This window comes from Homo sapiens, chromosome 2, assembly GCF_000001405.40.
Source record: "Homo sapiens chromosome 2, GRCh38.p14 Primary Assembly".
Classification (NCBI taxonomy): Eukaryota; Metazoa; Chordata; class Mammalia; order Primates; family Hominidae; genus Homo; species Homo sapiens.
The window spans coordinates 214,941,158-214,966,738 of record NC_000002.12 but is presented as its reverse complement, the minus strand read 5'-3'; the positions used below and the strand labels follow the sequence as shown (position 1 = coordinate 214,966,738).

Below are 25,581 nucleotides of genomic sequence, written 5' to 3'. Positions count from 1 at the left end.
TAAATCACAGGTCTTTAAAAGGAGTTTAGAAGTAGTAACTATCGCCAGATGCAACATTCTGGATAATCCTCTTAACTTCAGGTCAATTTAGTTTTCTCATCTATCAAATCAGGATAATAATGCTGACGTCACGTGCATGTCTGCTGTCAACCAAGCAGTTATAGCTTATAGAAAAATATTTTTAAACGACGTGCTTGTCTATAGGCTAAACAATTTTTAAAAACAATTAATGTTTACAAATACTGTTCACAAATCTAAATATGATGACAAAACTTTTCTTTCTTTTTTGACATATGTTAGTGGTTACTTTTTTATTTCATTATTATTTTTCTTCAACTTTTATTTTAAGTTCAGGGGTACATGTGCCAGATGTGCAGGTTTGTTACATAGGTAAACATGTGCCATGGTGGTTTGCTGCACATATCAACGCATCACCTAGGTATTAAGCCCAGCATCCATTAGCTATTCTTCCGGATGCTCTCCCTCCTTCCATCCTCTGCGCTCTGACAGGCCCCAGTGTGTGTTGTTCCCCACCATGTGTCCATGTATTCTCACCATTCAGCTCCCACTTATAAGTGAGAACGTGCAGTATTTGGTTTTCTGTTCCTACATTAGTTTGCTGAGGATAATGGCTTCCAGCTCCATCCATCTCCCTGCAAAGGACATGATCTCGTTCCTTTTTATGGCTGCATAGTATTCCATGGTGTATGTGTACCACATTTTATTTATCCAGTCTGTCATTGATGGACATTTAGGTTGATTCCATATCTTTGCTATTGTGAATAGTACTGCAGTGAACATACATGTGCATGTATCTTTATAACAAAATTATTTATATTCCTTTGGGTATATATGTAGTAATAAGACTGCTGGGTGAAATGGTATTTCTGCCTGTAGATCTTTGAGGAATCACCACACTGTCTTCCACAATGGTTGAACTAATTTACATTCTTACTAACAAACAGTGTAAAAGTGCTCCTTTTTCTCTGCAACCTCGCCAGCATCTATTGCTTTTTGACTTTTTACTAATAGCCATTCTGACTATTTTGAGATGGTATCTCATTGTGGTTTTGATTTGTATTTCTCTAATGATGAGTGATGTTGAGCTTTTTTTCATGTGTTTATTGGCTGCATGTATGTCTTCTTTTTAGAAGTGTCTGTTCATGCCCTTTGCCCACTTTTTAATGTTTTCTTCCCCCCTCGCCCCAGTAAATTTAAGTTCTTTAAAGACTCTGGATATTAGACCTTTGTCAGAGAGACAGATGGCAAAATTTTTCTCCCATTCTGTAGGTTGTCTGTTCACTCTGATGAAAGTTTCCTTCTCTATGCAGAAGCTCTTTAGTTTAATTAGATCCCATTTGTCAATTTTTGCTTTTGTTGCAATTGCTTTGTTTTTGGCATTTTCATCATGAAATTTTTGCCCGTGCCTATGTCCCGAATGGTATTGCCTAGATTTTCTTCTAGGGTTTTTATAGTTTTGGGTTTTACATTTAAGGCTTTAATCCATCTCGAGTTAATTTTTGAATATGGTGTAAGAAAGGGGTCCAGTTTCAATTTTCTGCATATGGCTAGCCGGTTCTCCCAGCATCATTTATTAAATAGGGAATCTTTTTCCCCATTGTTTGTTTTTGTCAGGTTTGTCAGAGATCAGATGGTCGTAGGTATGTGGTCTTATTTCTGAGTTCTCCATTCTGTTCCATTGGTCTATGTGTCTGTTCTTGTACCAGTACCATGCTTTTTTGATTACTATAGCCTTGTAGTATAGTTTGAAGTTGGATAATGTGATGCTTCCAGCTTTGTTCTTTTTACTTAGGATTGTCTTAGCTATTCCATCTCTTTTTTTGGTTCTGTATGAATTTTAAAATTTTTTTCTAATTCTGTGAAGAATGTCAATGGTAGTTTAATGGGAATAGCATTGAATCTGTAAATTACTTTGGGCAGTATGGCCATTTTCGCGATATTGATTCTTCTTATCCATGAGCATGGAATGTTTTTCCATTTGTTTGTGTTCTCTCTGATTGCTTTGAGCAGTGGTTTGTTGTTCTCTTGAAGAGGTCCTTCACTTCCTTTGTTAGCTGTATTCCTGGGTATTTTATTCTTTTTGTAGCAATTGTGAATGAGAGTTCATTCATGATTTGGCTCTCTGCTTGCCTGCTGTTGGTGTATAGGAATGCTAGCAATTTTTGCACAATGATTTTGTCTCCTGAGATTTTGCTGAAGCTGCTTATCCTAGCTTAAGAAGCTTTTGGGCTGGACAATGGGGTTTTCTAGATATAGGATCATGTCAACTGCAAACAAAGATAATTTGACTTTCTCTCTTCCTATTTGAATACCTTTATTTCTTTACCTTGCCTGATTGCTCTGGCGAAAACTTCCAATACTATGTTGAATAGGAGTGGTGAGAGAGCATATCCTTGTCTTGTGCCAGTTTTCAGGGGGAATGCTTCCAGCTTTTGCCCATTCAGTATGATATTGGCTGTGGGTTTGCCATATACATCTCTTACTATTTTGAGGTATGTTCCTTCAATACCTAGTTTGAGTTTTTAACAAAAGGGATGCTGAATTTTATCAAATGCCTTATCCGCGTCTATGGAGATAATCTTGCAGTTTTTGTCTTTAGTTCTGTTTATGTGATAAATCACATTTATTGATTTGTGTATGTTGAACCAACCTTGCATCCTAGGGATGAAAGCCAACTTGTGGCAGATAAGCTTTTTGATGTGCAAACTGGAGTTTGCCAGTGTTTTATTGAGAATTTTTGCATCGATGTTCATCAAGGATATTGGCCTGAAGTTTTTTTTTTTTTTTTTTTTTTGAGGCAGAGTCTCACTCTGTCAGTCACCCAGGCTGGAGTGCAGTGGCACGATCTCAGCTCACCACAACCTCTGCCTCCCGGGTTCAAGCAATTCTCCTGCCCCAGCCTCCCAAGTAGGTGGGATTACAGGTGCCTGCCACATGCCTGGCTAATTTTTTGTATTTTTAGTAGAGACAGGGTTTCACCATGTCTCTACCGGGCAGGCTGGTCTTGAACTCCTGACTTCAGGTGATCCACCCGCCTTGGGCTCCCAAAGTGCTGGGATTACAGGCATGAGCCATCATCCACAGCCTCTTTTTTTTTTTTTTTTTTTTTTTTGGTATCTCTGCCAGGTTTTGGTATCAGATGATGCTGGCCTCATAGAATTAGTTAGGGAGGAGTCTCTCCTTTTCAATTATTTGGAATAATTTTAGCAGACATTGTACCAGCTCTTCTTTATACTCTGGTAGAATTCAGCTGTGAATCCATCTGGTCCTGGGCTCTTTTTGGTTGGTAAGTTTTTTATTACTGCCTCAATTTCAGAACTTGTTATTGGTCTATTCAGGGATTCAATTTCTTCCTGGCTCAGTCTTGGGAGGGTATATGTGTCCAGAAATTTATCCATTTTTTCTACATTTTCTAGTTTATTTGCATAGAGGTGTTCATAGTATTCTCTGATGGTTGTTTGTATTTCTATGGGGTCAGCGGTACTATCCCCCTTATCATTTTTCATTGTGTTTATTTGACTCTTCTCTCTTTTCTTATTTGTTAGTCTAGCTAGTTGTCTATTTTATTAATTTTTTCAAAAAACAGCTCCTGGATTCGTTGATTTTTTTAAGGATTTTTTGTGTCTCTATCTCCTTCAGTTCAGCTCTGATCTTGGTTATTTCTTATCTTCTGCTAGCTTTGGGGTTTATTTGCTCTTGGTTCTCTAAGTTCTTTTAGTTAAGATGTTAGGTTATCAACTTGAGCTCTGTCCAGCTGTTTGATGTGGGCATTTAGTGCTATAAATTTCCCTCTTAACACTACTTTAGCTGCGTCCCAGAGATTCTGGTACATTCTCTCTTTTTCTCATTAGTTTCAAAGAACTTCTTGATTTCTGCCTTAATTTCATTATTTACCCAAGAGTCATTCTGGAAAAGGTTGTTCAATTTCCATGTAGTTGTGTGGTTTTGACTGAATTTCCTAATCTTGAATTCTAATTTAATTGCACTGTGGTCTGAGAGACTGTTTGTTATGATTTCAGTTCTTTTGCATTTACTGAGGAGTGTTTTACTTCCGATTATGTGATCGATTTTAGAGTAAGTGACATGTGGCAATGAGAAAAATGTACATTCTGTTGTTTTGGGATAGAAAGTTCTGTAGATATCTATCAGGTCTACTTGATCCAGAGCTGAATTCCGGTCCTGAATATCTTTGTTAATTTTCTGAAAGACAAAACTTTTATACTAAGAAGTTCTATACCTGGGCAAAAGCATTGCCATTCATTGAGCACTGCCCATATGACATGCTTTATATGAAATATTGATGATCCCTACAGCACTCTTCAGGGTGAATATTATTATCCCCTACTATTATATTATTTCTCTAAGGCCTAGAAGTGGGATTTGAATCCAGGACTGTCTGACTCCTGCCTGTTTATTTTTCTAATCCTCCACACTGCTCCTCTGGACTCAGCCATGCCTACTTCAGTTGAGTTTCACAAGAGGCTTTCACATAGTTTTTAAAATAAGGTTTGAAATTTGAAACAGACTTTTAAAAAATATACATATTTCAATTACTGTTTATAAGACCATCTCATCTTCTTGAGCCTTGCGCAAATTGTTTTTCCATGCTGATCCTCAAAAAAATTAAAAAGAATAAAGAAAAGCTGGCAAACACATTTGCTGGCCAAGATTGAGATTTATAGCCTAATAGTCTATTAAGTAGGAAAAAAGATACAACATCTCTTTTAGAAATGCCAACATCTACATTTCTTTCATCTTCCTACTGTTGGGCATCATAGTGTATGCCAGATGTACTGGTGACTGTAGAAGTAGACCGAAGAGTCCAATACTCATTCCAGCAACAGGATCTTGAGGAGTCTTCATTTCAGAGAAAACAGTATTTTTTTCCCCAATTGCTTTGGCATTTTCCTATCAGGAGAAACCAAGAAGAAAATACAAGATTGATAGTCATTAGATCTAGAGCATCAATAAAGAACAAAGTAAAAAGTGGTAAATTAAATTAAATGATGACTAAAGTGAATTGGGTCTAGTGTAACCGGTGTGAAATACTACTGGATGCTGTACTTTCAGTAGGGTGTTTTACTCAGAGCAAAAGACATTTATTGTTGAGACAGATAATGAAAGTATAAGAACTATAGAAATAACTAGGGGAAAATGTAGCAAAGATAAAGAGAACAAGAGACCAATGCTGCTTTTGAAGGGTCAGCTTTTTAAAACCTGTATTCTGGCTTCCTTTGTAATTAGTGCTCTTTATTTAGACTAAGGCAATCTGAGTCACTCTAGACTCCAGCAGGCTTGTTGTAGCTCCTAACATTACATTTTAAGTTACAGAGCATAAAGAATTAAGAATTCTAAAACATAAAAGTTTATTTTGACCCTAAACTGAAGTTTATTTTAATTAAAACTAATTTAAGATGTAGCTTGAGTTATATAGAAATTAGTAATAGTATGTCTTCTAGCCTCTAATAATTTTTCTTAAATAGACTTACGGAAGTGGTAAGTTTCCACTCTCTCTGGAAGGAACTCGATCTCTTTCAAAGAAGAAGTGCTACATCACCCTAACTTACTTTTATTGTTTCTTAATGCATATATGAGATCTACCATTGTAATAATGTTACTGGTTTTAAAAATCAACCCAATTATTCTCCCACTGCCTCCCTCTAACACACTAGTTGTTTGAAGGCATCTTTGTTAGATTTTGCATGAATTGGGTTTTTACTTTAACTATAAAATTGATTTTCTTTGAATTCTAACATGCTAATAAAAATCTTTTAATTAGCTTTCCTTTGCAATGTCAATATCTATTCTATTCATGTGGTTCCCTCTAGTGGTTAATATAACATGAAAATTCTGTTCTTTCTTCTCAAAAAATACAGGTTTGCTTGTTTTCCTTAACAAATGTTATACAACTAGGCTCTTTTTCAAGAATACTAACACATTGTCCCTTCCACTCCAGTGTTTATTCTTACTTTGTTGCATTAGAAGCAGTGGTCCATGGGAAGCATCTAAATTAAGGTTTATAACTGTAGAGACATCAGAAGATGTCTTATTTTTAATATACATTATATGTAAGAAAAATATTAATTGAAATTTTAAGATTTGAGTTCATTTAAAAGCATTTACTGACCAATCTCGCTACTTTGGACATCATGCTGGATGCTGTAGAACCTACAGAGATAATTATGATACAGGTCCCCAACTGTGACACATTTCCTTGATCTTTCAGCTAAAAATATGTATAAAAAACTGGTTCCACAGGATTTTGCATAGTGGAGTAAAATGTATTTGCAAGGATTCCTCTGGTGAAATAGAGTATTTCTTGATTCTGAAATACAAAGCAGAAATAAAAGAAAAGTTCTCCCTTACCTATATAATAATTTACCATTAGGGTTTAAGTAGAGCCCCCAGGAAAACTGAATCTCAGTTAAAAAGGGCCCCTTAATTTATACAAAAGATAAGAAAAGTATATCCCTCCAATGATGTGATTAACATTATAAATCAACTTGGTTTTTGTTGTTGTTAGTTTCTTGCTTTAACCATATATTTTTTCTTTAATATACAAGAGTTACAGAACTCAAATTCAAAGGATGTTACATTCTACTTAATGAAAATTACAAATGTAACTTGAGAAAATCTGCCTTTAGAATCATCTATAATATTCAGTGCTGTGCAAGGGCCTTAACATCCTAGTACAATGAACAAATACTATATGAACAGTTAAGTGAGAAAGCTCTCACTTAGTTTATGACACTATAGGAACAAGTATTTAGGAGCTTTCTTCAGTGGCATCCCCTACCACTCTTTTCCACAGTCGCTCAGACAGTACACACTTTACCCTCACATTGTTTTCCTTTGGGAAACTGTTGACAGCTCATTCTTGACTTTGGCTAACCAAGGTCCCCTAAGGAAGGGAAGAAAAGAGCCTTGTTTTTTACTCAAGTATAAACAACACTGGGAGATCCCAGCAATTTGGGACTGTATTGGAATTAAGTGACCACTTTTCTGAAGCCAGCTAATATCTCTGAATCCTCTTGGATATTTATGTCTCAATGAAAAGGCCTCGGGTATGGCTGAAGTTCCCAAGCCCTACTCTGGTAGAGCTCTAGAAAAATAAGCATCTTAGAAGCAATAAAGGGGAAGGAGGAGTCCACTCAGGCTACACTATTTCCCCAACACAGACAGCACTAAAGAGGGATGGGGGAAGTAACTGTCTGCTCTTTAAGGGATCCTCATATAAATAATTGGTCCTGCTTTGAATTGCTTATTTAAATGTAATACATGTCTGAAGTGCTGTTGAAATACAAACATATATATGACCAGATAGAAGGAAAAAAATGGAACATACTTATTTAAATATAACACACTAGAGAGAAATGCAATATAAGAAATACAAATTCTTGCTCCCTTCCCAAAGGTTCTAAACACAATGTGAAAAACTTCTTTTTATGTGAGTGCCACCAATTGTATGGCATTAATGGGATTAGGGGAAAAATAATTTTCCTTTAAAAAAAAAAGGTCCCCCAAATAAAATTGTTTAGATAATAATATAAGGAGGAAAGTGTTGAATATTATTCATCTAAAAATTGGTATTTCTGATTAACTGAATACCTACTAATAGAAGAACTGTTTCGTCTTTAAGGCATCATCATGTATAGCCATCCTTATCCAGGAGTGCAAGACCAAGAACAAGCCACGTAAGCAGATATCTCTAGCATGACTACTTTCTCCTTGACATAGCTGAGCCTTTGTATAAAGTGCTGTAATTGGAAATCACAGTTGTATCTGAATGAATGTCAATCTAGAAGGGCTGGTAATATGTCACTGACTGGGATCAAAGGAAGTTTCTGCAAGGGTGTAGAGTGGGCTTGCCAAGTAGAGCTTGTTGACTGTAGACTCACAGCGTTTGCTGCTTTTATAAGTCAAGTGATAAGTGCTACATCACTTCAACTTCCCTGCATAGCAATTAAGTATGGTTCCTATGCTCAAGAATGATATATCCCTTGCATAGACTCTGTAACCGTTGGAGACCGAGGTTTTTCTATCAAATATCCCTAGTCAATTCAGATGCACTAGAACTACATTTATTCTAGGGTCATGGTAGAGTCACGTTGGAAATATTATCTGGCTGCCTTGCAGGATGCCTTATTTGTGTCACAGCCAACTCTTGTACTGTTTTCTTGATGGTTTTAGTTATGAATCTTTCTGAAAGGAAAAGAGTTTCAAAAACTTATGTGTGTTTTCCTCTCCCTATTGCTCACTCTAGAATCAGCAGTTTAATCGATATTTTAGTGGCACTGTCTATCTTGATGGGCTACTCTGTCACCACCGCCAGCTTTGTCACCTATGTTGTAAGGGAACATCAAACCAAAGCCAAACAGTTGCAGCACATTTCAGGCATTGGCGTGACATGCTACTGGGTAACAAACTTCATTTATGACATGGTGAGTAACTTATGTCCTTCATTGCAGGGAATAAAAGATCAATTTGGATAGAAGACATCAGTTTTCTATTCAAGAGTTATTTACTCTAGTTTGTTCAAATTGTTATCACAAAGACAGGAAATAAAGAAAATGACTTGAGTCAGGCTTATCTTCATCCAGTGGTTGGAGGAAACATAACCTACCGGCCCTCATCTCTGTGGACTATATCAGATTCTCTAGGGCACTTAAAATGAGGATTTCTGGGCCTCACTCCAGATCTGTTAAATTCATATCTTAGGAGGGGAGCGTGGAGAACATGCATTTTTAAAAAGATCCCCCAGGTGATTCTAAGCACGCTGAAGTCTTACAGTCAGTACTGTGGAGAAATAGAAGCTTAGCAGCAAAATATCCTTACGTAATTGTGCCAAACAATCAAGCTTATAAAAATTTAATCAACTAATAGTGGAAAATGCGAAGTAGTAGCCCCTGCTAATGACACATTAGAGAAGATTAGTAGGAAAAAGAAGGGATGTATTTCATTGATAGCTCTCTCATTTGCATAAAATGGTCCCAAGTTCAGATGGTTGTTCTGGACTCCAAACATACCAATGTTGGCCAAAAGCCCAGGATGGGTATGCATTTGCCTGGTGATTATGGTGAAATTGTCTGAGTTGCTGTCAAGATCATCGGCTTAAAGGGTTGGAGAGTAATTAACTGCATATCCATTTTGTTAATGTATCCAGTGAGGTCTAAAATGTGTTTGTTGTAGAAGTCAAATCTAAAAGAATAGTAATGACTTCTCAGGACTTAACAGGAGCTTTAATGTTAAGAAAATTTCAAGTACATACTTCTGTGAAGGTCTACTTAGTACTTTAGGATTCTGTTGTCTTATATCTGGAGCTCATTCCAATTTAGGAGATTCCTCCCCACCCTGCAAATTAAGTTACCACCACCTTCATTGTGTCCATCTTCCTGCAAACTCCTCAGCATTTAATAAATATTTCTACTTGCCAACAAAATGCTAAGTTCTTTGTTCGTATACCTGTGATTATGAGGATATGTGGGACCTGATGCCCTGCTGCTTTGCACAGAGTGGTTCACACTGATAACCAAGCTTTAGAAATCAACCATCTGAGAAAGTTCCAGCATTCAAAACGAAATCAATACTTTGAGGACTGAATGTAATACCAAGATACCTGGCTGTCTTATCTTTCTCACTGAACCTCTGTCACTGAACCATCCCAAGTCTCAAAGCCTAGAGGCAGGAACACCAGGGACTCCTTGTATATCTGTTAAAGATGGAGATTGGCTTAACCTCATATTGCAGGAGACAAATTCTAAAGTGAAATCAATGTAAAATAAGTTGAATGTTAGAAGCAATGGGAACATAAATAAGAATTCATTTCTTCAAATTTTTCTAGGTCAACTTGTTGCAGTTTTAAACTAGATGGGTTATTGATTTTTTTTTTTTTGAAAAATGCTTGTCACGTATTAAACATTGTTTTGAATATTTCCATAGGTTTTCTACTTGGTGCCTGTAGCGTTTTCAATTGGTATCATTGCGATTTTCAAATTACCTGCATTCTACAGTGAAAACAACCTAGGCGCTGTATCTCTCCTACTTCTCCTGTTTGGGTAAGCTGCTGATTAAGCAATGAAAGAAGAATTAATAGAATTAAATGCCCCTAGACACAAATAGGACTTAAATCTCATTAGCTAAATTACAATTGTCTTGGGGTTTCATTTGACATGAGTGATGACTAACAACACATTGCACTTGCTAGTCCATAGACTGCAAAGTATAATACTTTTGAAAATTAATGTTGTTATTAATAGTAATACCTAAAATTAATAAGCATTTATTGGGTGCCAAGTGTCATGCTTTCTAATTTACATATGTGATCTCATTTACATAAAAATGAAAGCTTTAGAATGATGAGAAAATGTGTATACATGTATAAATTTATGTATTGACTATATGAGTATATGTAGCATTATGAAGTGCATATACCTTCATGTATACTTACTTATATTTATCTTTTTATAGATGTATAAGGACACACACATAATATTGTTTCTATCTTAAGCTAATACAGGTAACACAGGCTGATATAATCAATGCTTAGCATAACAAATCTTTCTGCCCTGAATACATGGTAGTAACCCTTAATTAGCAATTGTAGCTAATGCAGGAACTCTGTCTCTAGATCTATTTAATTGCCCCCCAAATTGCTCAAGGTTTTGCTCAAAACAGGCTAGCCAGCTTCTAAGCATGCTCTTTCTGCTCAGCTAGACTTGAACAGTGTCATTACTTTTCCTCAACTTTAAATTATAAGATTTATACTGATTAAACTCATATTTCTGAGCAACCTAAAAGGCTTGCCTAGGCGGGATAATACCATATTCAGGAGGGATTAATTTGTAGTTTTAATGATGTAGAACTACTCAAGGTTTCTTAAAGAGGCTTTTTACTGTCTTTAAAAAAAACTCTTTGGATTTTTTTTGTCAAAAAGGAATGAAAGAGAGATCTAGTTAGAAGGCTTGACAACTCATCCCTAATGGTTATTTTTACTTTGGAAGCCCATCTAAATTGTTATTTTTTGTAAAATAGAATAATTAAGGCATTTCTTTTCTGAGACAGGATCTCACTCTGTCACCCAGGCTGGAGTGCAGTGGCATGATCACAGCTCACCACAGCTTGATCCTCCGACCTCAGCCTCCCAAATAACCAGGGCTACAGGTGCGTGCCACCGCACCTGGCTGATTTTCATATTTTTCTGTAGAGACAGGGTTTTGCCAAGTTGCTCAGGCTGGTCTCAAACTCCTGGGCTCAAGTGATCCACCTGCCTCAGCCTCCTAAAGTGTTAGGATTACAGGTGTGAGCCACCATGCCTGGCCGAGGCGTAATTTTAATTCTTTGTGTTTTTAACCTGCAGGTATGCAACATTTTCCTGGATGTACTTGCTGGCTGGGCTCTTCCATGAAACAGGAATGGCCTTCATCACTTACGTCTGTGTCAACTTGTTTTTTGGCATTAATTCCATTGTTTCCCTGTCAGTGGTATACTTTCTTTCCAAGGAAAAGCCTAATGATCCGGTAAGGTCCCTTATTTCAGTGAATTTATCAAAAGCTTCAACATGTTCCAGGTGGAAAGATTTTATTTATTCTACATAAAAAAGAAGAATATCATTTGATTCTATTAAATTTGGGAGAGGAGAAACTACAGCTTTTAAAATTCTTTTTGGGCCTCATCTAAGTTAATGCCTATCATTGTATGTATTGAGCGTCAAAACTATTGACACCTGATAGGGCTTGAATGTGGTGACAGAGGTGAAATCAGATGTATTGTGCGGCACTACATAAATCACGCAACCATTGGTCAGCTAAACATCTTACTCATTAACAAGTTCTTATGGTATGGTGGTGACAAGGACAACGACTTAGTTATATGACTGTGAGCTTTGATTCATTTGAACATTCATAGAGAAAAAACCTAATTCATCCCCTTTCAATCATGTATTGGAGACTACTTCATTGTAAGCATCACTTTCCATTCAGAGCTGACAATTACGATTAGTGAGAAGAGAAGCACTAACAGTGTCAGGCAATTGAACAGAAAAGAATAGAGAGGAAATGAAGTGAACTGAGGACTAGACAAGCATACTCTGGGAGAAGGAAGAAAATTCATGAAGTGGAAGTAGTTGGCCCACGTGTGAATAATGTGAAAATGAGCTATTTGTCCCTCTTCGAGACATGTTGGCTCTTCTTCTACCTCATTTCAGCATTTTAGTCCCTCTCCAAGTAGGGATTACCTTGGGTTCCAAAACTTTACTGTACCAAGTACCTCCCTCCCTCAGGCACATAATGATACCGTGTAACAGACCCCAACACACTGGCTAGCCCTACATTCCTGGGATTAAAGGTAGGTCTAGAAATAATTTTGCCTCCAGGATTAGGTCCAACATTATAGGTGGCCTCATATAATGATTTTCTGCTTGTATTTCAGTGATAAACATCCACCATTTAGTATACTAAATATTTGTATGCAAATTCAGCCTATATGGGAAATAATTGCCAATCTAGATAAGCTTTTTAGGTTTCACTATTTGTCTACATCCATCTAGTTTTAAATTTTTGTCAGCTTTTTGGAAACTTAACACTGAGTTTTATTTTTATTTCTCTTATTTCAGACTTTAGAACTTATTTCTGAAACCCTCAAGCGCATTTTCCTGATTTTCCCACAATTCTGTTTTGGCTACGGTTTGATTGAACTTTCTCAACAACAGTCGGTCCTAGACTTCTTAAAAGCATATGGAGTGGAATACCCAAATGAAACCTTTGAGATGAATAAACTAGGTGCAATGTTTGTGGCTTTGGTTTCTCAGGGCACCATGTTTTTTTCCTTGCGACTCTTAATCAACGAATCCCTGATAAAGAAACTCAGGTAAATATAATGAAAACATAACGTTTGACATCTAAAACAGAACTCAATTCAACCTATTGAGAAAGAAGTCAATAGTCTAAGCTTTTCCATTGGTAATATGGAAATGTTTGGCTCAAAAACTTTTAAAAAATTCTAGCATAATTCACTATTTATTTTATTCTAGTAAGTAGTTATCAAATCTTAATATGTGACTGCAACTATTGCTGTTGAGTGAGGGAATAAAATTAAATAAGCACAGTTGTTAACCTTAAATAGATTAAGGTACAGTGGTGAAGTGAAAATATGTAAATGAACAAAAGATGTAGTCTTTGAGTTGAGTTTGGGAAAATGGAAAACACTTTCAAGGCAGAAATGGGGAAAGAGGATTGAGTGTGGAGCATGTTGGCAATGAGTTTGGGAAAAGAAGATTAAGAAAAAGTGAAGACAGCATCATAAATGAGAAGAAATACACATGCCATTGACCCAGCAATTCCATTTCTGGAATGTTTGCATATATGGTCACAGATACACAGACTTACTTATGTATGTTTAAAGTTATTCATCATGGTAACCATTTCTAATACCAAAAGAATAGAAACAACATAAACGTCCTTCATTTAGGGACTAGTTTAATTATATACATAGATTCACTAATAGAACATTAAACAGCCATTAGAAAAAATGATATAGTTCTCTATGTAACATTTGGAAGTGTCTTTAATATTTACTTATTTAAAAATGCAAGGTTCAGAACTATGTGTAAAGTATATTGCCATTCAAGTTAAAAAGAAAAGAAATATTTATGCAGACATATCCATAGACTATCTCTAATTGTGAGTGCCTCTGCTGATGAGAGATATATACAGTTGAAGATGACCAGTTTTTACTGTCATCTTCGGTACCATTTAAATTTTAATGACATGTACATGTATCACCTATTGAAAAATACAATGTTAAGTAAACAATGAGAGGAAATAAAAGAGCAGAGATAGAGAAATATATTAAGAGCATATTTAAGAAAGAAGTATTACAATTTAATCAGAACAGAATAAATGTAATGAAAAAGTAGGAGTTACAGTTTAACATGTGGTTGGGAGATTATGGAATCTCTTAAATGCTTGGTAAAGAAATATGGTTTGGGCTTTATTCAACAAACAAATGGACATTCATTGAGAGTTTTTGAACAGAGAGAAACATGATCAAGTTGTGCTTGAAGAAGTGTAATTTTGTAGATGGAGTGCAGATTGGAATGGAAGAGTCAGAGACCCTGGAGCAGTTTTAGCTCCTGGAGAAATCTAGGTGAGAAGAATAAAAGCCTATAGGACTAGGCAGAAAATAATCCACGATAGGGTGTTATAAGGTGCGGTGGCTCACGCCTGTAATCCCAGCACTTTGGGAGGCCAAGACGGGCAGATCATCTGAGGTCAGGAGTTCGAGACCAGCCTGGCCAACATGGTGAAACCCCATCTCTACTTAAAATACAAAAACTAGCTGGACGTGATGGCACGCACCTGTAATCCCAGCTACTCGGGAGGCTGAGGCACGAGAATTGCTTGAACCCAGGAGGCGGAGGTTGCAGTGAGCCGAGATGGCGCCACTGCACTCCAGCCTGCGTGACAGAGCGAGACTCCGTCTCAAAAAAAAAAAAAAAACAACAAAAAAAAGGCATTTCCAGTATTTGGAGACTGACTACATGATTTTGGAATAAGGAAGATTAGAAGAAACATTACAGTTGGGGTCTTTGGGGATCTCATCAGAAGAAACAGGGACATTGGGAAGAAAGCCTGGATTGATTTCTTTAAATTTTTTTTTTTTTTGGTATTTGTTAGCCAATATATCAAGGTGGGTTTGGGACTTAATGAGTTTGGAGGGCTGATAACCTTAAAATATTGGCTAAATCCTAGGTGAGACATTAGTAAAACAAGTACAGAATAACAATAGTATTCATATTATTGATGATTATAAAAGTAGATATATCTGCGGTACAATATTGTGCCTATAGTTAACAATACTGTATTATGCACTTAAAATTTTGTTAAAAGGGTAGATCTTATGCTGTTTCTAAAATTAAAAAGAAGAGAGGCTTTTTAAATTTAATTGAAAAAAACATTCTTTTTTGAGACGGAGTCTTGCTCTGTCGCCCAGGCTGGAGTGCAGTAGCGTGATCTTGGCTCACTGCAACCTCTGCCTCCCAGGTTCAAGCAATTCTCCTGCCTCAGCCTTCTGAGTAGCTGGGACTACAGGTGTGCACCACCATGCCTGGATAATTTTTGTATTTTTAGTAGAGACAGGGTTTTGCCAGGTTGGCCAGGCTGGTCTTGAACTTCTGACCTCAGGTGATCCGTCGGCCTCTCAAAGTGCTGGGATTATAGGTGTGAGCCACTACACCTGGATGAAAGGATTTTTTTAAAAGGTGATCATTGGTCTTAGGTTTGTAGATGATGAGTTTTCCTAATGATTCTGGAGTTCCTTAGTTCCTCTGTTAGGAACTAACCTTCAAACATATACTTACTGTATTCCTTATTACTGAAATTAGAATTATAAATCTTAACAGTGGATCTGTAAACATTTAAGGCATGGAGAACAAAAGCTGTTTCACAAATATAGTGAATACAGTGAGGAGGGTCTATACTGATTTAAGTTATCTGAGTAGCATAATTCATTACAAATGTAAAAGAAGTCTAATGATGACTAGTACACTGTTAGTGACATGAAAACCCATCAAAACATGTCAAAATTGAATGCTGTCATTTCAAAATCATTGACGTAAAATCACTGGGTCCATTTTTAGGCTTTTCTTCAGAAAATTTAATTCTTCACATGTAAGGGAGACAATAGATGAGGATGAAGATGTGCGGGCTGAGAGATTAAGAGTTGAGAGTGGTGCAGCTGAATTTGACTTGGTCCAACTTTATTGTCTCACAAAGACCTACCAACTTATCCACAAAAAGATTATAGCTGTAAACAACATCAGCATTGGGATACCTGCTGGAGAGGTAAGAAACTGTGTTTTGTTTCTAACTGTCCTTTTCATTGGCATACTATGTGACAAATTAAAATCTTAATTATTGGCCAGGTACAGTGGCTCACACCTGTAATCTTAGCACTTTGGGAGGCCGAGGTGGGTGGATCACTTGAGGTCAAGAGTTTGAGACCAGCCTGGCCAACATGGTGAAACCACGTCTCTACTGAAAATAGAAAAATTAGCTAGGCATGGGGGCGCACGTCTGTAGTCCCAGTTACTCGGGAGGCTGAGGCACGAGAATAGTTTGAACCTGGGTCGTGGAGGCTGCAGTGAGCCAAGATTGTATCACTGCACTCCTGCCTGGGTGACAGAGTGATTCTGCCTCAAAAAAAAAAAAAATCTTAATTATTTTCCCACAATTTTTTTCTAGAAATATAAATGTTAATCTGAATATTTCCATGGGAAAATATACACACATGCATATATATACACACACACACACACACACACACACACACACACACAGATATATATATACACACACATATATATATATACACACACATATACACATATATATGTATACACATATAGAGTCATCCCTCCATATCCATGGGAGATTGGTTCCAGGACCCCCAAGGATATCAAAATCCACAGAAATCCACAGATGCTCAAGTCCCTGATATAAAATAATGTAGTACTGTAGTACTGCATATAATCTATGCACATCCCACTGTATATTTAAATCATCTCTAGATTACTTATAATACCCAATGCAATGTAAATGCTATGTAAATAGTTGTTATCGTGTATTGTTTAGGGAATAAGAACACAGGAAGTCTGTACATGTTCAGTACAGATGATTTTTTCCCCCTGAATATATTTCAATCAAACCTTTGGATCCAAAGGTTAGAAACTCGGATAAGGAGGGCTGACTGTATATATAATTTACACATGTCCAGGTATTAGGTTGGTGCAAAAGTTATTATTATTTACCCTATGAGTCTTCCCGCTTGGCGGAGGGAATTCAACAGGTCCTACCACACAGCAAGTTCTGAGCCCCTTCCTAAACTACTGTCCACTTACTGTGGGGTAGACTTTGGTCAGGAAGCCTGTTCAGGGTGCTGTCTTCACCCTTTCATTTCCAGTCCTCCCCAAAAAACATCATAAAGACATCAGTTTTCAGAAGTGAGGTCCTAGGACTGCATCTATTTATTTATATTCTTGCCATTTTCACAGAAGCGATATTAAGGCAGCATTGAAAAGAGAAAGCAAATCTGGCTGTGCCACTTGGTTTTCTAAGCAGAGCTGCAAACTACACGCATCAAATTTGACAGTACGAAGAAACTATTGCCGCGATAGTTTATTCAGTGAAGTTGTGATTTTGTGTGAATAATGTGAAATGTATAAATATAATTACTTTGTTGGGTTAGCAGATCTTATTTGTGGGGTATTTTATCATGTCACATAGAGGGATGATATAACATAACATGTAAAATAGGTCCTGTGTGTGTGTGTGTGTGTGTGTGTGTATATATATATATATATATATTCAGATGGTTAAAGGAAAAAGAATACATGGTATCCATTTGTTTTAAAAAAGAAAGTTTTATCAAGAGCATTACACTATCCATGAATAATTCCAGAGATTTATTTTTCTCGGTAATTTATTTCACCCAGGGAGAAGAGGGAGAGATACAAAAGCAATGTCTCATTGGTTTGGATTAAGGCTTATATCTTCTTTTTCTCCCTCAAACCAGTGTTTTGGGCTTCTTGGAGTGAATGGAGCAGGAAAGACCACTATATTCAAGATGCTGACAGGAGACATCATTCCTTCAAGTGGAAACATTCTGATCAGAAATAAGACCGGGTATGAAAAACTAATGCTTCAATTTAGCGAGTACAACATACTTAAATGAGAAAAATAATTGAAATGAACATTTAATGTTATTTTGTGGTTATATTATTCAGTCCTTAGGGGAGAACAAAGCTATTAAGGTGGGTGGAAATGTTTAAATGTTTAAATGTGAATTTGATAGTGGGATTATTTTATCCCTTTTTATCAAAGTCACTGACCACCATGACCAAAATAGAGCTACCTTCCCAGCATTTGGGAACCAGGAGGGATAAATCTTTTGAAATTCATCTGTGTTTTTGATTCTCTCAATTCAGATCTCTGGGTCACGTTGATTCTCACAGCTCATTAGTTGGCTACTGTCCTCAGGAAGATGCCTTAGATGACCTGGTAACTGTGGAAGAACATTTGTATTTCTATGCCAGGGTACATGGAATTCCAGAAAAGGATATTAAAGAAGTGAGTACAAGTGTGAAAAATTACTTAATTTGAAACCATTATTGTTTCTACTTCCATCCCCCACCCCACCACACCCACTGTCCCCCCTGCCCCACCATTTCCCCTCAAAACCACCTGGAAAACATTGTCATTTTCCTTCTGGCAGTGGCAATGGCAGTGAGTCCCTCTTAGTTTGGTCATGTGCATTATATATGCACCTATGAAATTAGCTTTAGAAACTCCTTGGCCCGTGTTTGTTCAGTTACCCTTTTAAGAACTGTCAAATACAGGATCACACTTGCATTAGGCTCTGGGCTGAGCACTGGGTGGTGAGGCCTATACATCTTTTAGTGTTTGGATTAGCACTGACACATACAGTTAACGGCAAAATGCCCAAGTAAAATAGATTCGTTTCCACTTTGGTTTTTAATCTGTGGCTTTAGATCTCACTGCAACTATTTGCCATTTTAATGAGATGGCTGACCCTTAGGGCAGTTTCTTCTACTTTTGAAATCCTGAGGACCTGTTGTTTAAATTCAACTAGGATTTCATTATTTGCCAGGACTATTTAACTTCAGAAATAACTGCAAGAACCCATGATTCCTAATGTGCTAACGTTTTGGTACTGGGTCAGTTTTAAATAGATTGAAAGCCTTTGTGACAACTCACCCCTCAGTAAGGAGAAAGAGGACGCAGGGGTAACAGTCAGTGAGAATCCTGTCTTGTGAATTCTGTTTCAGCTCTATTAAGCCTTACTAGAGAATCTTGTGGTAATGCAGCAAAAAGTTCAATCTGCAATTGTAAACACACACACACGTTTGGTGGGGGAGGGAATCCCATCTGAAAATGAGCCTCCAAAGAATCTCTTTAAATAAACTATTAATCCTTAAGTGATTCTTTGAAAATAAAATCTATGTTGAATTTAAGTGTTTTCATTTTTTTCCAGATATATTCTCCATGATAACATTTTCTTTTCATGAGCATCTTTTTTTTTTCCATTTAGTGCTTTAAGGGTTTTGGCACAGGAAGGTCAACCTAACTCCCCTTTTATTGCCTACAGACTGTTCATAAACTCCTTAGGAGACTTCACCTGATGCCCTTCAAGGACAGAGCTACCTCTATGTGCAGTTATGGCACAAAAAGAAAATTATCCACTGCACTGGCCTTGATAGGGAAACCTTCCATTCTACTGCTGGTAAGAGAATCATTATTTAAACAGGCCACTCCATAATTAGAACAGCATATCTGATTGCATGTGTTAACATTTCATCATCATGATTGCAGTCAACATTTATTGAGGTCTCACTATGTGCTAGCTATTGTGCAAAGCACTTTATGTATACTATCTCAATAAAGGATTTTATATCAGCAAATAATTTGTTACCACAACAATATGCTCTCAAAAATGTTTTATCTGAAAGCAATAGCTTAGTGCGTTTCCAAGGAAACACTGGCATGGAAATGGGAAGTGAAACAAATTCAGGGTACTCAAATGAGTAAGTTACGGAATATGGTAGCATCTGATTCCCACCTATTGAAGAAATCATCTCTCTTTTTCTGTTAGGAACTGAGTAGGTAAACTCACATTTTCCAGCTTCTACTATGGAGGACAGACACATTTTAGGACAATGTGTTGTGCTAAAATTTTATTTCCTTGTTACTTTAAAATATGAGTTATCTAGCTTAGGATGTGATGGATCCATCCTATGTCATCTGAATGTGGGGGGTATAGGGTGGGGAAGAAATGCATTCCACATTTACATTTTTCTTAAGAGATGGAAAATTTAATTGATTACCTGGAAATATAAATTACACATAGTAGTAATGTTAATATTCTGCACCCCAAGTCTAACTTTGTCAAAGGATGGTTATTTCAGAAAAATATACTTGCCCTTATTTTGGAAAATCCCGTTCATTCAAGGACCTCCAAACTCTGAAAGAGCCTTAACTATAAGGAATCATAATGCAGCTATAAATCACCACATTATTCCAGGGATTAAGTCATACAGTGGATCAAATCATTTCAACTGCCAGATAAAGTGATGCACAGCCCATCTTTCTATAATACCAGAAGCTTATAATGCATTATATCTCTGCCAATCGATGCTTATAATGGAATTCTATTGTGTAAATGTTCCTTAAATTGAACAAAACAATCTTTAGGCACCTCTGTGAAATAACAAATGTAAAGTACTTTAAAATGTTAGACATTTTATGTAAACATTATGCATTAATGAACCAAAATGAAATATTGACATGAAAGATACCAAGTTTTCTTCTATATGCATTTACTAAATATGCTATCTTCTTCAAAAACAGGAGCAGTGACAATGTATCCTTTGTTTCCCCAAATTAACACTAATTTCTTTATTTTTTAAAAAATTATTTAACTACCATTTTAATTGACACATAATAATTATACATATTTATGGAGTACAGTGTGATATTTTGATTCCTGTATACAATATGTAATGATCAAATCAGAGTAATTAGCTTATCTATCACCTCAAATATGTATCATTTCCTTGTGTTGGGAACATTCAAAATCCTTTCTTCTAACTATTTGAAAATATACAAGAAATTATTGTTAACTATAGTCACCCTATAGACCACTAGAACTTATGCTTCTTGTCTAGCTGTAATTTTGTATTCATTAACCAATCTCTCTCTATCCTCCTCTCCCCGCTATGCCTCCAGCCTCCAGTAACCATTATTCTACTCTCCACTTCTATGAGCTCAACTATATTAGCTTCCACATAACCCATTCCTTTCTTTAGATTTTACATCATTCTGTAAAAACAAGCCTCTAGTTATGTACATATTCTTTGTTACAAGTATATTTTTTAAATTTTTACCTAATCTTGCCCTATAGTTTGTTTAACCATCTGTCAAAACCTGTTATTGTATGTTTAGATTATCTACTGCTACATTTTCTGTCTGAATGATTTTTCATAACATCATTTACTTTGAAAAATAACGTACATCTTTCTACTTGGCAATTTCTACAAATCTTGTTTTTATTTCCCAAGGAGTGTTAGATTTCAATTAATAACAGAAAACTAAAAATATATCTCAAACAAATTAACTGAAATATCAAATTATGTTCTTTCTGTTTCACATAGCATATTATCACTCATAGCCACAATTCTGCTACCAGGAACAGGGTGGTAATCTTGTTGATGTGGCTTATATATGTGGCAAGATAGAATTAAATATAAGAATTTGCCAGTAATTGAAGTGGAATTTTTTTCCAAAGAAACATAAGAGACGGATGTAAAGTAACAGGGTGTCAACTTCACTTAGACACTTTTTGAAACAGATTGACAATTTTAAATGATTAATTTTGAACTTTTTGACAGCAGCAGAAAGAAGTCTATTAAGTATAAAACAAGTTAGTCACAGGACCTCGAAAAGTATTTCTGTTCTAGGGAAGTGAAATGCAGTAATTCATGAAAAGAACTTCATCAAAAATTAATTAATTTGATAAATTTTTGTTGTAACTTTCTATTAAGGATGAGCCGAGCTCTGGCATGGATCCGAAGTCGAAACGGCACCTCTGGAAGATCATTTCAGAAGAAGTACAGAACAAATGTTCCGTCATCCTCACATCTCACAGGTAAACTGAGTGGAATCTTTAAAGCGAATCCACACAGTCTTAGGATGACAGGTGGGAAAAGGTAATCCTGTATAACATAAATAAATATATACACATACATATATATGTGTGTGTATATATATATATACACACATACAAAATATATACACACAAATATATGTATATATATAGACAACGAATGCCCACAGTTCAATCAAACTATTTTATATTTATAGTAGTAGGAGCAAGTCAGGCAGGTTTCATGGTGAGAATATAGTTCCTGTGGTGGGACGGAGTCTAAGGTCTAAGCAGTCTTTTTAACATCGAATTTCTCATGACTTATGGCCCTCTTAACTCGTCTGTGGCTCCCTATTGCCTGTCAAATAAAGTTCAGAATCTTTAGGCTCAACATGCAAGGCTCTCCATTCTATGGCCTCATCTAAATGCTCAGTCTTTTTCCCCTGCAACACCCTCTCCTATCAGTCAATCTGGATGACTCCTTCCTGGTTCTGCATTCTTCCCATCTCCATACCCTTTCCCATCTCCAAGCCCCTTCTTTGGCTGTGCTTTCTATTTGAAATTTTTTTTTTATTTTTTAATTTTTTTTATTTAGACAGAGTCTTACTCTGTCACCCAGGCTGGAGTACAGTGGCACAACATCTGCTCACTGCAACCTCCACCTCCCGGGTTCAAGCAATTCTCCTGCCTCAGCCTCCCATGAAGCTGGGACTACTGGTGCCCACTACCATGCCCGGCTAATATTTGTATTTTTAGTAAAGGCAGGGTTTCAGCATGTTGGCCAGGCTGGTCTCAAATTCCTGACCTCAAATGATACACCCCCTTGGCCTACCAAAGTGCTGGGATTACAGGCATGAGCCACCCCGCCTGGCCTGAAATGGTCTTTTCACAAAATCTCTCCAACTTCTAATCTTACCAGTCCTTCCAGAACCAGCTCACATACCTCTCCTCCACAAAGCAGACACTTCCAATCAGCTAAGTATAGGAGATACTAAATCATTTTATCCATGCCTCTCTTATGAGGATGGCCTTGTCTTATAATTTGTATTAAGTTTATGTTTGCATTATAATTGTCATATAGTAGAAAAAGTATTAGATTTGCTTATTATCAAGAGACTTGTTTATATCATAGTTTGCCCCAGCACAATGGAGCCAATCATTTAATTTCCATTGGCTTTTGTAAGAGGTGGACAGGGTAATACCTAAAATCACCTCCAATTATGATAGACCATGAAATTAGAGACTGTATAATCAAGTACAGGCCAACTAGTTATAAATCCAAAAATAGGAAAGCCAACAGAATATGGGGTACGTAGCATAATGGAAAAAGCTTAGTGTTATTTTGGAAACACTTCTAAGGAAGTGTAGGTCTTGAATCAAAGATTGAAAGAAATACTAGGTTTGATGGAGCGGGTATTCCAGGTGAGAGAGAGATGGCCTTTGGTTTTAGAAGAAACAGTAATAAACCCTATCTGAAGACATTTAATTTATATTTTAAGAGATTGGCTTTTGTTCTCCTTTAAAAGAACTAAAAACTAAAAGAGAATCAAGAAACTAGGCCAGGCACGGTGGCTCATGCCTGTAATCCCTGCACTTTGTGGGGGTCCAAGGCAGGAGGATCACTTGAGCCCAGGAGTTCAAGAACGGTCTGGGCAACATGGCAAGACCCCCATCTCTACAAAAAAAAATTAAAATTAAAATATTAGCCAGATGTCGTGCACATCTGTCGTCCCAGCTATTCAGGAGGCTGAGACAGGAGGATTACTAGAGCAAAGGAGGTCAAGGCTACAGTAAGCCATGTTCAAGCCACTGCACTCTAGCCTGGGCAACAGAGTGACACCCTATCTCAAAAAAATAACAAAGAAAAGAAAAAAACTAAAATAGTATTTCCAAGTGCCATAATGAAACAATTATGCTTATGCTCATGAACTTCAACCCAAGTTTTCTGTATCCTGAATGCTAATATGATCCTGCTTTGTCTTTTAGCATGGAAGAATGTGAAGCTCTCTGTACCAGGTTGGCCATTATGGTGAATGGAAAGTTTCAATGTATTGGATCTTTGCAGCACATAAAGAGCAGGTGAAGAACAAATGCATTGCTTAACAGATAGTGTTGGGTCATCTATCTAATGGTGCTCACTCAGATTCAAGGATTATCTCAGCAGCCTAAGTAGTAAAACTAGAATGGACAAGCTAATCTTTGGAAGCTAGTCACTGACTCACCTTAAATTTAAATTATTTTATTGGGGATTTGATGAATTTTTACTTAAATATTTTAGTTAACTCATAAATTTAACTCATAAATGTATTTTAGTTAATGCATAAGTTTAGAAGGCCAAAGATGAAAAAATGAATAAATAATAAACAGTTCATAACCAAATTACTCTCAGGTGGAAGTTCTAGAGTTTACCCAATAATAAATTAGAACTTGACAAGTAAATGAAGGCATAGATTGTATCTAGCATGTTCATTTGCCATTTGCACAGTCTTTCAGTAAGCTATCTAACATTCATACCACATTCAAAACCTTTTAATCAAGAATACATTGGAGAAATGTGCATAAATATCATACTACTATCAAATTTAATAGTTTGTATACACCAGAGTGTATATGCATTTATACATATCCATGTTAATCTCCAAACTTCAGAATATTTTATACTTTTCTGTATAACAAGTTGACTTTCTTGCAAGATAGCATTAACCAAGATAAGGAAAAAAGGATGAAAGAGGCATTGTGTTGCTCTTAGAGAGTCTGTTGTGACTTCTTTACAAACTCTATTCTTGGTGCAAACAGTTAGCTGGCACATTGATTTAATATTTATTTTTAAAACCCCAATAACATTAATTTTTATTGATGACACCAAATCTCCAATGACCTGCTTATCAAGACCTTGCTTACTTTAAATTAGAATGCATTTAACTTTACAAGTGTATTGTAAAGACCATCAACACTATGAAGAAACTGCATCAACTAACAAACACAAAATAACCAGCTAGCGTCATAATGACAGGATCAAATTCACACATAACAATATTAACCTTAAATGTAAACGGGCTAAATGCCCCAGTTAAAAGACACAGACTGGCAAATTGGATAAAGAGTCAAGACCCATCAGTGTGCTGTATTCAGGAGACCCATCTCATGTGCAGAGACACACATGGGCTCAAAATAAAGGGATGGAGGAATAGCTACCAAGCAAACGAAAAGCAAAAAAAAAAAGCAGGGGTTGCAATCCTAGTCTCTGATAAAACAAACAGACTTTAAACCAACAAAGATCAAAAGAGACAAAGAAGGGCATTACCTAATGGTAAAGGGATCAATGCAACAAGAAGAGCTAACTATCCTAAATATATATGCACCCAATACAGGAGCACCGAGATTCATAAAGCAAGTTCTTAGAGACCAACAAAGAGACTTAAACTCCCACACAATCACAGGGGAAGACTTTAACACCCCACTGTCAATATTAGACAGATCAACAAGACAGGAAATTAACACAGATATTCAGGACTTGAATTCAGCTCTGGACCAAGTGGACCTAATAGACATCTATAGAACTCTCCACCCGAAATCAACAGAATATACATTCTTCTCAGCACCACATCACTATTCTAAAATTGACCACATAATTGGAAGTAAAACACTCCTTAACAAATGCAAAAGAACAGAAATCATAACAAACAGCCTCTCAGACCACAGTGCAATCAAATTTAAGAAACTCACTCAAAACCGCACAACTACATGGAAACTGAACAACCTGCTCCTGAATGACTACTGGGTAAATAATGAAATTAAGGCAAAAATAAATAAGTTCTTTGAAACCAATGAGAACACAGACACAAC

General features: G+C 36.5%; 1 protein-coding gene and 1 long non-coding RNA gene across 5 annotated transcripts in view; one reads left to right on the top strand and one right to left on the bottom strand.

The window, feature by feature from the left end:
• Positions 1-25,581, top strand: part of ABCA12 (ATP binding cassette subfamily A member 12) — a 207,085-nt gene that overhangs the window by 171,888 nt on the left and 9,616 nt on the right. For all 4 annotated transcript variants that reach the window (NR_103740.2, NM_173076.3, XM_011510951.3 and 1 more), the window contains 11 exons: positions 7,661-7,715; positions 8,285-8,462; positions 9,961-10,076; positions 11,378-11,537; positions 12,632-12,885; positions 15,656-15,860; positions 17,590-17,699; positions 18,002-18,143; positions 19,183-19,317; positions 21,635-21,738; positions 23,722-23,814. Coding sequence is in view for 3 of the 4 variants with exons in the window: in NM_173076.3 (NP_775099.2) it covers positions 7,661-7,715; positions 8,285-8,462; positions 9,961-10,076; positions 11,378-11,537; positions 12,632-12,885; positions 15,656-15,860; positions 17,590-17,699; positions 18,002-18,143; positions 19,183-19,317; positions 21,635-21,738; positions 23,722-23,814 (1,552 nt within the window). In the remaining variant the exon portion in view is untranslated. The remainder of the gene's footprint in view (positions 1-7,660; positions 7,716-8,284; positions 8,463-9,960; positions 10,077-11,377; positions 11,538-12,631; positions 12,886-15,655; positions 15,861-17,589; positions 17,700-18,001; positions 18,144-19,182; positions 19,318-21,634; positions 21,739-23,721; positions 23,815-25,581) is intronic.
• The window catches only part of SNHG31 (small nucleolar RNA host gene 31), a 153,377-nt gene continuing 130,929 nt past the window's right edge, over positions 3,134-25,581 (bottom strand). The window contains exons 3-4 of the long non-coding RNA NR_110292.1: positions 18,792-18,914; positions 3,134-4,929 (exon numbers count right to left, since the gene is read on the bottom strand). This is a non-coding gene — a long non-coding RNA (small nucleolar RNA host gene 31). The remainder of the gene's footprint in view (positions 4,930-18,791; positions 18,915-25,581) is intronic.